A 12010-nucleotide genomic window follows, 5' to 3' on the forward strand; every position below is an offset into this window, starting at 1 on the left:
TCCTGTCCCTACAACAAAACATTAAAAAATTAGCCAGGTGTGGTAGTGTGCATCTGTAGTCCTAGCTTCTTGGAGGTTGAGCTACTTGAACACCTGAGCCCAGGAGTTTGAGACTGCAGTGAGCCTCATGATTGTGCCACTGCACTCCAGCCTGGACGACAGAGCAAGACTCTGTCTCAAAAAACAAAAAACAAAGAGGGCAAGTAATTTGCCTAAATTTCAGTAAGTGTCAGACTTATATTCTCTAGTTGGATGTAGCATATACCTACAATATACATATAATATTGTCTAGTTGGAGATAGCATATATCTACATTATACATATCTATATAGAAGTATAAATAAATATATATGGTACTATATCTAGTTGGATACAGTATTCTATATATGTCAATTAGGTCGTTTGCTCACCTCCATCATTAATAATTTCTAGTCTCCTTATTCTAAGTTACTGAAAGGTGTGCTAAAATCTCCAATGATGACTGAATTTGTCTATTCATCCTTTCTCTTTTATTGACCTTTTTATATCCTGAAGCTCTTTTTTTTTTTTTTTTTTTTTTTTTTGAGACAGAGTCTTACTCTGTCACCCAGGCTGGAGTGGAATGGCATGGTCTTGGCTCACTGCAACCTCTGCCTCCTGGGTTCAAGAACCTCCCAGGTTCTCCCGCCTCAGCCTCCTGAGTAGCTGGGACTACAGGCGTGTGCCACCACACCTGGCTAATTTTTATATTTTTAGTAGAGACAGGGTTTCACTATGTTGGCCAGGGTGGTCTCGAACTCCTGACCTCGTGATCCACCTGCCTCAGCCTCCTAAGGTGCTGGGATTACAGACGTGAGCCACCGCACCCAGCCTTGGGTATAAACTTTTATCATTATGAGCTGCCTCCATGTTATCTCTCATAATATTTTTGGCCTTAAACTCTATTTTTTTGACATAAATAAACATCAGCTTTTGTTGGTGTTTGCATTACCACCTTCATACTTTTGCTTTCAACTTTTTTTTTCTTCTTTTTTTTGAGATGGAGTCTCACTCTGTCACCCAGGCTGGAGTACAGTGACTTGGTCTCAGCTCACCGCAGCCTCTGCCTCCCAGTTCAAGCAATTATCATCCTTCAGCCTCCAGAGTAGCTGGGATTATAGGTGTGTGTCACCACACCCAGGTAATTTTTTTAAATTTTTAGTAAAGATGGGGTTTTCACCATGTTGGCCATGCTGGTCTCGAACTCCTGACCTCAAGTGATCTGCCCGCCTTGGCCTCCCAAAGTGCTGGGATTACAGATGTGAGACCCCACGCCCAGCCTTGCTTTCAACTTTTCTATGTCATTATACTTAAAAGTGTGTCAGCTACTAAAAGCATATGGTTGATTTTGTTCTTTTCGTCCCTCGCTCTGTCACCCAAGCTGGAGTGCAGTGGCTCAATCACAGCTCACTGCAGTCTTGACTTCACAGGCTCAAGTGATCCTTCCGCCTCAGCCTCCTGAGTAGCTGGGATTATAGGCATGCATCACCACACTCAGCTAATTTTAATTTTTTGTAGAGATGGGGTCTCACTATGTTGCCCAGGCTGGTCTCAAACTCCTGGGCTCAGGCAATGCTCCCATCTCACCCCTCAAATGCTGGGATTATAGGCATGAGCAACTGTGCCCAGCCAATAGTTAATCTTTTTATTGTTTAGTCCAGTTTCATTAAATTTCTTTAATGTAATGTAAATTACTAATTTAATTACTATGTTGGAGGTAAGTTCATCAACATTTACTTCTATGTGTCCCCCTCTTTTTTTGTTGTTCTTTTATTCCCCCATTCTTACCTTTTATTTTATTGGTCAAATAATTTTATTATTCTAGTTTGCCATATTAGTTCATACTGTCATGCACTATTATTTTAGTTACCATAAAGATTATAATACTGTGCTTAACTTGTTACAACTAAAATTCTCATGCAGTGCTTCTGACAGCATAAGTACAACCACAGTGGAAATGTTTAGCAGTATCTACGAAAACTGAACATACATACATCATACAATCCAGCAATTCTACCCCTGTTTATCTCCATAATGTCTGTGTGCAGGGGTGGGGGAGAGGATTAATACTTATGTGCATGTCTTTGTCCATATTTTGACAATAATGGTCATACTAGCAGTATTTCTATAGAAAAATTTGAAACAACTCAAATTTCCAACAATAGAACAGATAAATAATCTGTGCCACATCCTACAATGGAATACTACACAGCAAAAGGAAGGAACAGGTACCTGCTATATGGAACAACATGGATGAATTTTACACAGATATTGAGTAGAAGATTATTTTACTTATGAGAAGTTAAAATAGGTAGATATTAAAAGGAGAGGTACATGAAGGAAATATTTTTATTCAGTGGGACCCCAGGAGACTGGATAAATTATCCAGATCCTACATTATTGCCTGAACAGGTAGATTTGAGCAGGCTGCAATCTGTTCACCCACCAAAAGCCCATGCCACATTCCTGTAGATATCTATACTTAAAATGACAAAGACACACGTTCCTAGAGGGTCTTGGAAGCGGGTATAAAGTTGGTCAGGTCACGAGAGCTGCACAGCCAGTACAAGGAATTGCCTGGGTAGGATTCAGCTTTGACTCTAGTAATAGCTGACTGGTTATGCATCCTTATATTAGCATTGCTTCTCTGTATTCTCTATGGTTTTCTTTTCATTTAAGACTACTTCTTGGCTGGGTGCAGTGGCTCATGCCTGTAATCCCAGCGCTTTGGGAGGCTGAGGCTGGAGGATCACTTGAGACCAGGAGTTCAAGACCAGCCTAGGCAACATAGTGAGACTCTGTGTCTACAATAGTAAAAAATATTAGCCGGGCCGAGTGACATGCACACCTGTAGTCCCAGCTACTCAGGAGGCTGAGGTAGGAGGGTAGCTTGAGCCCAGGAGTTTGAGGCTACAGTGTGCCTTGATTGCACCACTGCAACCCAGCCTGGGTGACAGAGCAAGACCCTGTCTCTTAAAAAAAAAAAAATGGTTGGGAGGTTATGTACAGTTGCAAATAAGAACAAAAGATGTGATTAAAACTTTCAATATGTTAATCTTAGCTCTGAAAGTTACTAATTCTGTGCTTTGACAAGTATTTTATTGGCATTACCTAGATTTCCTCATCAATAAAATTAGAAAAACAACAGCACCTTGTACCTCACAGAGTTGTCAGAATTAAGTGGAAAAAAAACTAACAACAAATCACTCCCATGGCACATAATAAGTACCTAAAAATCACCTAATAAATATCATCTATTTGTATTGATGATGAAAAGACTATGTCATGTCATATAATCTATTAGTATTAAAGAAAAGTGTCTTCTGTCCTTAACATGCTTTCTGAGGCCTGCTCTTTCTTATAAAGCTAATATCTTACAAAGCACAGCCTGCAAATGTAATTAGTCTTCACTAACAACATTACCCACAGATTTTTTCAAAAAGAAAAGGACAGCAGCTAGAGAGAAGTCATTCGGCTTATAAACATAGCTCAGAGAATCTGACCCAAATAGTTAACAAATTGAAAATATTAACAAAAGATCAGTCTTGTTCCTTGGCCAATCCAGTCTTTTATGCCTATTTGTAACTATTAACATCAATTCTGTTATCAGAAATCATAAACCCATCCTCAGCAGTGTGATTTATATAACAAAGTCTCCTAAGACTTCTGGTCTTGAAAGATTAATGCTGTCTTGTGAAAGTTACCTAAGTCTGTACAAATACATACATACATATATAATTCTGACTAGCTACCTTACTTAGCTGCCTACCTGTTCTCCTGGTAATTATGCATAAATTAATATGTATATAATTCTAAAAGGTGTAAATACTCAGAATGTTTGTCAAATCAGTTGGGCATCAATGACACTTCCTTTTTATCCCTACACACATGGAAGTCTAACAAAAGCATGACTGATTTGAATTTCTTTTTCAAGCTAAGAGTAGAGAGGTCTTCTCTCATTCAAATGACTAATTCATGTGAATCTTTCTGAAAAAAACAAGAACATATTAACATATCTACAAGGAAAAATTGAGAAGAATGTACACCAAAATATTAATAGTGAACATTTTCTAGATAATAAAACTATGAGTACTTACAACTTTCTATTTTATAAGTCAACTTAGGTTACTGAATTTTTTTCAATTAGACTGCATTAATTCCATCATCAGGAATGATAAAACCTAAAGCATTTTTCTAAAGAGCTGGGAGGGAAAGCTATCTTTTACTTATTAAGAAAACTGTGAGCAAACAGGCTGGCAAAATGACACAGAGCAGCACTAAAACCAAACTGACCAAAATAAACAAGCCTACCAAGTCTTGCACATTCTTTTTTTTTTTTTCTTTTTTTGAGAAGGAGTCTCACTCTGTTGCCCAGGCTGGAATGTAGTGGCACGATCTTGGCTCACTGCAAACTCCGCCTCCCTAGTTCAAGTGATTCTCCTGCCTCAGCCTCCCGAGTAGCTGGGATTACAGGCATGTGCCACCGTGCCCAGCTAATTATTCCATTTTTAGTAGAGACGGGGTTTCACCATGTTGGTCAGGCTAGTCTCGAACTCCTAACCTCAGGTGATCCACCCACCTTGGCCTCACAAAGTGCTGGGATTACAGGCATGAGCCACCGTGCCTGACCAAGTCTTGTACATTCTCTTCCCATATTTCATCAATGTACTGAGACATTTCCAATATTAAGATTTTTGTTCAGATGTGCAAAATTGAGGTAAGTGGCCCTTTCACACTGAATAAATACTGTTTGGGCCACAGTGGAGGCTTAACAAATGTGGTTTTATCATTGCCTTTCTTTACTGAATGACCAGTTAATATAATCCTTGAAAAGCTGCTAATAAACGCCTATCATAGTTCAACTGATTTATAATTTAGCAATTCATTGTGTACTTTTGCTCACAAATATGAATGTTATATGATATTCCATCTTATATTTTTTATATTAGTATCTCCAATTTCTTATTATCTATGTAGTATTACATCACTTGGATGTAAACTGACTGACTTAATATTTACATAATACAGGAAATTGTTTTTGGACAAACTCTTCCTAAAGTTCATTTCCAGGTGTTATAGATCAGTGGTTCAAAACATTTTTGGGTTGTATATACCCTTAATACTCTCATAAAATTAGAGACTTTTGCCGAGGAAAAAATACGCATGAATAAAATAAACATACAATAATTAGGTATATAATTCCAAGGCAAATTATTCCAGGTGAAGTATCCCTGTTCTAGACAGAGCATATTTGTGAGCCACTGCACTTGAACTCCACAAATTTTTGAATTGCATATAATTTTCACATGTCATGAAATATTATTCTCCTTTTGATTTGTTGTCAACTATTGAAAAAGTTAAAATCAATCAGTTCACAAGCCATACAAAAATAGGCTACAAGCAGGGTTTGGCCTACAGAGCCATAGTTTGCAAACCCCTGCTATAGACCCAGAGACCATTATACCATACACAGGCTACACAATTATGTAACTTGGAAAAAAAAAAAGACACCTCATGCTGCCAAACCTCATGCAAGAACTAGCTGGGTACCACATCTCCATCTCTTAACATCTCCATATCAAACACAGGCTGTGCTTTTTCTGTTGGAACCTTCATCCTATTTCCTTAATTACAAGTGTAATTTTTTTTTTTTTTTTTGAGACGGAGTCTCGCTCTGCCTCAGCCTCCCTGAGTAGCTGGGACTATAGACGCCCACCACCACACCTGGCTAATTTTTTTTTATTTTTAGTAGAAATGGAGTTTCACCATGTTAGCCAGGATGGTCTCGATCTCCTGACCTCGTGATCCGCCTGCCTCGGCCTCCCAAAGTGCTGGGATTACAGGTGTGAGTCACTGCGCCCGGCCACAAGTGTAATTCTTAATTACAACTGTATTCCTAGCTACTTGGAAGGCTGAGGTGGGAGGACTGCTTGAGCCCAGGAGTTCCAGGCTGTAGTGAGCTATGATCGCACCACTGCCCATCACAATTAACCTCATATTTTCATTGCACCTTATATGTGAATGTGGAATGACTTAGAATATCCACATAATAAGGTTTTAAATTTAAGCTTAATAATTTATTATTATCAGCCACCGTTTTGTTACTCTGTTAATAGTAACTTTGCTAATCCTCATAAAAATCCTTTGAAATTGGTACTATTATTATATAAATAATAAACTATAGAACAGAAAGATATTGAGTATATTGCCCAAATTCACACACAGTATTAATAATTAGCAAAACCTTAGATTTTAATTCAGATACTATAGAATAGGGGTTGGCAAACTTTTCTGTAAAGGACTAGATAGTAAATATTTTAGGCTTTGTGAGCTAAAAGGCAAAATTAAGGATATTATATAGGAGTTTATATAAAAGAGAGATGAAAAATTTCCCCTTTGTTTTTCCTTTTTTTAGAGATAAGGTCTGGAACTCCTGGCTTCAAGCAGTCCTCCCTCCTCAGTCTCCCAAAGTGCTGGGATTACAGGCGTGAGCCACTGCACCTGAACGCTACAATTTTTTTTTTTTTTTAAGATGGATTCTCACTGTCTCCCAGGCTAGAGTGCAGTGGCGCGATCTCGGCTCACTGCAACCTCCGCCTCCCAGGTTCAAGCAATTCTCCTGCCTCAGGCTCCCGAGTAGCTGGGATTACAGGCATATGCCACCATGCCCAGCTAATTTTTGTATTTTTAGTAGAGATGGTGTTTTGCCATGTTGGTCAGGCTGGTGTCGAACTCCCGACCTTGTGATCCACCCACCTTGACCTCCCAAAGTGCTGGGATTACAGGTGTGAGCCACCGCGCCTGGCCACCTCCACAAATTTTTAATTGCCAAAATCCAAAACTTTATTTATGGACACAAATTTAAATTGCATATAATTTTCACATGTCATGAAATATTACTCTCCTTTTTTTTTTTTTCGTGGTCAACTATTAACAAAAAGTTAAAACCAATCAGTTCACAAGCCATACAAAAATACAGGCTACAGGCTGGATTTGGCCCACAGGGCCATAGTTTGCAAACCCCTGTTCTAGACCCAGAGACCATTATACCATACTCACACAGTCTACACAGTTATGTGACTTGGGGGAAAAAAAGAAAAAAACACCTGGCCGGGCACGGTGGCTCACGCCTGTAATCCCAGCACTTTGTGAGACTGAGGCAGGTGGATCACCTGAGGTGGGGGGAGTTCAGGACCAGCCTGATCAACATGGAGAAACCCCGTCTCTACTAAAAATACAAAACTAGCCAGGCATGGTGGCGCATGCCTGTAATCCCAGCTACTCGGGAGGCTGAGGGAGGAGAATCGCTTGAACCCAGAAGGCGGAGGTTTCAGTGAGCCAAGATCGCACCATTGCACTCCAGCCTGGGCAACAAAAGTGAAACTCCGTCTCAAAAGAAAAAAAAAAAAAAACACGTGATGCGGCCAAACCTCATGCAAGAACTAGCTGGTACCATATAAATCTCCTAAGGTATCCCCTCGGAAAAACTTCCTGCCCTTCTTAACAGCTCTCTCTGCACATACTCTGCAATAATATTCTAACTCCTAAGGTCCTCTAAAACAAAAAAAGTTACTATAACCATTCAAACGATCTCCTATCTTGCTGTTTTTCCACTCATGTCTCTGAAGAAAATCTAAACTATCTAATGTGTAATTCTACCTAAGCAATTGGTCTCCTCCGTAACAAATCACCGTGTGAAGGCAGACTATTTCTATGTCATGAGAATGCTTAAACAAAAAGAGCACACAGGAGAAGTGAACATACTGTCAAGGTGTTATATGAAAATTAACTCTAGGAAGGGCATCTGATGAGGTACTGGAAAGAAGGAGATCTGTCTTCATAATGTCATCAGTAACTGGGAAGAGAAGGACTAGAGACCAGGTAAATAGATAAGTCACTATTTGGTGAGCATTTCAAATGAAGTTATTCCACATCCTGAAAAACAAAAATGCATTTCATAAAACAAAGAAAAAAATCAAAATGACCTCCAGCTTTGCTTTAAAATGTGCAACTACAATGCTTTTCTTCTCTCAGAGCTCTTCTCTTGGAATACAGCAAAATGTGGAAAGAAAGGGAATCACAATATACTCAGCCTTTCTTGGAGCCCAGACAGGCTAAATAAGAACACATTCTTCACCACCGGCAAGCTTCCATAACCCATGCTGAATATGACCAGATGGAAGTATGAGAAAGACTGGAATATTGTTGACTCTTCCCTTCATAAAGAAAAGTCAGGTTCACCAAAGCCTGGGACTGAAATGTTTCTGTATTCACAATAATTTCCTTTAGACAGCTATGAAAATGCTGTGGATCTGCAATATTCAACTTGCCCCCACAGAGCTTCCAAAAGGGATCTTTTGGCTAGGCACGGTGGCTCACGCCTGTAATCCCAGCACTTTGGGAAGCCGAGGCGGGTGGATCACCTGAGGTCAGGAGTTCGAGACCAGTCTGACCAACATGGTGAAACCCCGTCTCTACTAAAAATACAAAAATGAGCCGGGCATGGTGGTGCATGCCTGTAATCCCAGCTACTCGGGAGGCTGAGGCAGGAGAATTGCTTGAACCCGGAAGGCGGAGGTTGCAATGAGCCGAGATTGCGCCACTGCACTCCAGCCTGGGCAACAAGAGCAAAACTCCATCTCACACACACACACAAAATCTTTGGAGAAACGAATCCTACTCCTGGGGCCTCAATATCATATCTTCCCAGAACCTTGCCTTGGGAGCAATTCCAGCTCTAACATCTCCATATCAAACACGAGGCTGTGCATATCAGAACACAGCCTTGTCCATGTGAAACACAAGGCTGTGCTTTTTCAGTTGGAAACTTCATTCTGGATCTCAAATATCCAACTTTCTTTTCGATAGCCATTTGACTGCACACTGTGCAACGTGGTTATAAGGTGAAATGACTGAGGCAGTGAAAGAAATCCCAGTATAACAAACTCCAAGAAACCACGTAACTTAAAATTGGCCCCAGAGGTTGGCGAGGCTGCATGCCACTGTGTATTATGCATTATGAAAGCGACAGGGGCCATGCTTTAGAACAGAAGGTCTCAGAGTCTTCACAGACACAGATCGAGCCATACGGGGACCTTGTCCACGTATTCCTGAGCCCCAGAACTGCAGAAATCAAACTCTACAAAAGCTGCACCAGGCCAGTTTTGATCACAGTCTCCAGTGGGTCACAACAGCGCTGTCACAGGATCACTGATAACAGCATGACACATTCATAGTCACCGCTCAGCGCCGTCACACAAACGGCCCCGCCCCCACTCAGTCCCGCGGGCCCAATCGGGGACAGTCAGGGCTGTCCCGGGCTGTGCACCTGCTGTGCACACACACCCCCTGCTGTGCACACCCCCCGCCCCCCCGGGACCATCACAGGCGCGCCCACTCACACCACCACACACGGACGCAGCCACAGAACGGCACACACAAACACAATCACACAGTCTCCCTCCCCAGCAGGTGACTTGCACACAGGCCTGGGGCTTCTGCCTCCACAAACCCTCTCCGCGTCCCATGAACCCAGGTCCCCTGCCGTGAGCTCTTCTCGCATCCAGACCCGGGTCACCTCAACTCACCACATGGAAAACGAACACCAGGTCAACGGAAAAGGGAGCCGGGGTCCTGGCAGAAGCGTAGTGCCAGCCGCAATAGGGCGGCCGTGGGTGCAAACGGAGGGGAGCGCCGGCAGCTAGCACCGCGCGGCGACTAACGGGCCGCCCCGGAGACTCCTGGGAGCTCAGGCCCACGCGCGAGTGCGCAGGCGCAGACGACTCACCCTGGGCCGGGGGTGAGGCTTGGTGGGTGCCAGGGGTGCTGAGGAGGCCAAGGAGGGCACTGGGAGCTCCGTTCCGGGAGAGCTGTCTAAGGACGCGGAACCGGGTGGGGAGGCCAGGGAGGTAACCAAGAGTCCGAGCCGGGCCTGGAAATTCTGAGGAGGAAACCGGGACCGCGGTATCCAGACGCTCCGATCTGTACGAGCCGGGCCTCGGGCGTGGTCCATGGGCGTGACCTTGAGGGTGACCCGGAGCGAGCTCCGCGAAGGGGGATTTTGCCCGTTCTGATCCCGCGGAAGCGCCATCGCTGGCGGCGGGTCCCCGCGCGGAGCGGGCGCTGTGTGTTCGCGCGCGCGGGCGCGCGCTGAATAGGGGTGGCCTCCTGCGCCCAACCTGCTGCATTTTAGGTGCTTGCCTCTCTTTGGGATGTTGTGGCCGATTGTGTGTGAAAAGTGAACGGAGTAGTGTTGCTGCGCGAGGTTTCCTCTGCGTGTGTCTATTTTTAGATTAGGTGTGAGTCGCATTTGAGACTGCCTTTGAGTGTGGAGAATTGCAAGTGATTTGTAGGTGTGGTTGTGACTGCCTGGAGTCGTGTTAGCTGCTGTCTGAGGTTGTGAATGACAAGTGGGGCCTGTAGGTTGGTGGTTCTCTGAAGGATGTTTGATTGACTGTGACTCTGCATGTGTTTGTAACCTACTGTTACTTCTGGTGGTTTTGTGGCCTTAGTGACCTAAATATTTGAATGATTGAGGAACTCTGTTATGACCATGGCTAGTTGGTTATGTAAGACTTGATTATCTGAATAGTAGCCATTAAGCCTGCCTCCAAAACTGTAACTAAGTAGCAATTTAGCAAATAAAATAGAGATAACAGTATCAGAGGGGAAGAGATGATTTTCATAATTCCCAGATTCATTTCCTGGAAACACCATATTAACTAAAACCAGTATGTTGAAATGAATAGCATTCCATTGGGGACATGCAGGAAATTTTTTTTTTTTTTTTTTTTTTACCATAACTACCACTTTTGTTGTTGTTTTTTGTTTGTTTTAAGACAAGGTCTTGCTCTTTTGCCCAGGCTGGAGTGTAGTGGCATGATCTCTGCTCACTGCCACCTCTACCTCTGAAGTTCAAGTGATTCTCCTGCCCCAGCTTCCTGAGTAGCTGGGACTACAGGCTTGTGCCACCACGCTCGGCTAGTTTTTGTATTTTTAGTAGAGATGGGGTTTCACCATGTTGCCCAGGCTGGTCTTGAACTCCTGACCTCAAGTGATCCCCTCCCCCCGCCCCCTCGGCCTGCCAAAGTACTGGGATTACAGGTGTGAGCCACTGTGCCTGGCATAACTACCACTTTCAACACTTGTATATGAGTGAGGTTTCCTACTCCCTTAGGCTTGCTAAGATAATAAAAAGTATTTGATAGATTTTTAATAAGTCCAGTCTCACTGTAGTAATTAAAATAGTTATTTTGCGGGCCTGGTGCAGTGACTGATGCCTGTAATCCCAGCATTTTGGGAGGCCAAGGTGGGCAGATCACCTGAGATCGAGAATTCGAGACCAGCCTGACCAACATGGAGAAACCCCATCTCTACTAAAAATACAAAATTAGCCGGGCATGGTGGTGCATGCCTGTAATCCCAGCTACTCAGGAGGCTGAGGCAGGAGAATCGCTTGAACCCGGGAGGTGGAGGTTGCGGTCAGTCAAGATTGTACCATTGCACTCCAGCCTGGGCAACAAGAGTGAAACTCTGTCTCAAAAAAAAAAAAAAAAAAGATTATTCTCAACTACAACATAGACCAGATAGGCAAAGATTTAAAAGTTGTCAACTGTCTTCATCAGGGCTTGGGAAGGTATTCTCATCCACTACTATCAGTGTAAATTGGCAAAAAGTCCAAGAAGAACCGTTTGGAAATACACAGTAAACCTGTGGTTAGAGGTAGATGGAAGGCAGAGCTGCAGAGGGAAAAACACAGTGTTCCCTCTCTTCAAGCTAAAACAGGTTCCCCAGAATCCTGTATACTTTACCAAGAGACTGGGTTTCTGGTGTTTGTGAGGGAGCCTGATTTGTCTGTTTTCCCACTAACTACCATCCTGGACATCTGAAGGGTACACAGGGTGGACAAGTGCTGAAATAGTGAACATTCATGCAGATTTAACTGAGTTAATTCTGGGAGTTCTGAGTCAAGTATGGTCTCACATACGTATAT

The 12010-nt window shown here is 42.9% G+C and overlaps 2 protein-coding genes across 9 annotated transcripts in view, besides 3 other annotated features; one reads left to right on the forward strand and one right to left on the reverse strand.

Annotated features, from left to right (window-relative positions):
* ZNF529 (zinc finger protein 529) overlaps window positions 1-10023 on the reverse strand; it is a 61931-nt gene extending 51908 nt beyond the window's left edge. For 3 of the 4 annotated variants that reach the window (NR_027239.2, NM_001145650.2, NM_001145649.2), the window contains exon 1: window positions 9606-9737. The gene's annotated coding sequence lies outside the window, so the exon portion shown is untranslated. Of the gene's footprint in view, window positions 1-9605; window positions 9738-9805 lie in introns of those variants that run through there. The other variant, XM_011527164.4, reaches the window with a different exon arrangement.
* Window positions 9065-9204: an enhancer, noted in NCBI's record as "active region_14528". NCBI's record gives its function as "activates an Ori minimal core promoter by ATAC-STARR-seq in GM12878 lymphoblastoid cells {active_cell/tissue: GM12878}" and the evidence as "EXISTENCE:reporter gene assay evidence [ECO:0000049][PMID:35858748]".
* Window positions 9765-9824: a silencer, noted in NCBI's record as "silent region_10549". NCBI's record gives its function as "represses an Ori minimal core promoter by ATAC-STARR-seq in GM12878 lymphoblastoid cells {active_cell/tissue: GM12878}" and the evidence as "EXISTENCE:reporter gene assay evidence [ECO:0000049][PMID:35858748]".
* Window positions 9793-12010, forward strand: part of ZNF382 (zinc finger protein 382) — a 28802-nt gene continuing 26584 nt past the window's right edge. For 3 of the 5 annotated variants that reach the window (NM_001398491.1, NM_001398490.1, NM_001398492.1), the window contains exon 1: window positions 9793-10210. The gene's annotated coding sequence lies outside the window, so the exon portion shown is untranslated. The remainder of the gene's footprint in view (window positions 10211-12010) is intronic. The other 2 variants (NM_032825.5, NM_001256838.2) reach the window with 1 other exon arrangement.
* Window positions 10185-10244: an enhancer, noted in NCBI's record as "active region_14529". NCBI's record gives its function as "activates an Ori minimal core promoter by ATAC-STARR-seq in GM12878 lymphoblastoid cells {active_cell/tissue: GM12878}" and the evidence as "EXISTENCE:reporter gene assay evidence [ECO:0000049][PMID:35858748]".

The sequence above is a fragment of the Homo sapiens genome, chromosome 19, assembly GCF_000001405.40.
Source record: "Homo sapiens chromosome 19, GRCh38.p14 Primary Assembly".
Lineage (NCBI taxonomy): Eukaryota > Metazoa > Chordata > Mammalia > Primates > Hominidae > Homo > Homo sapiens.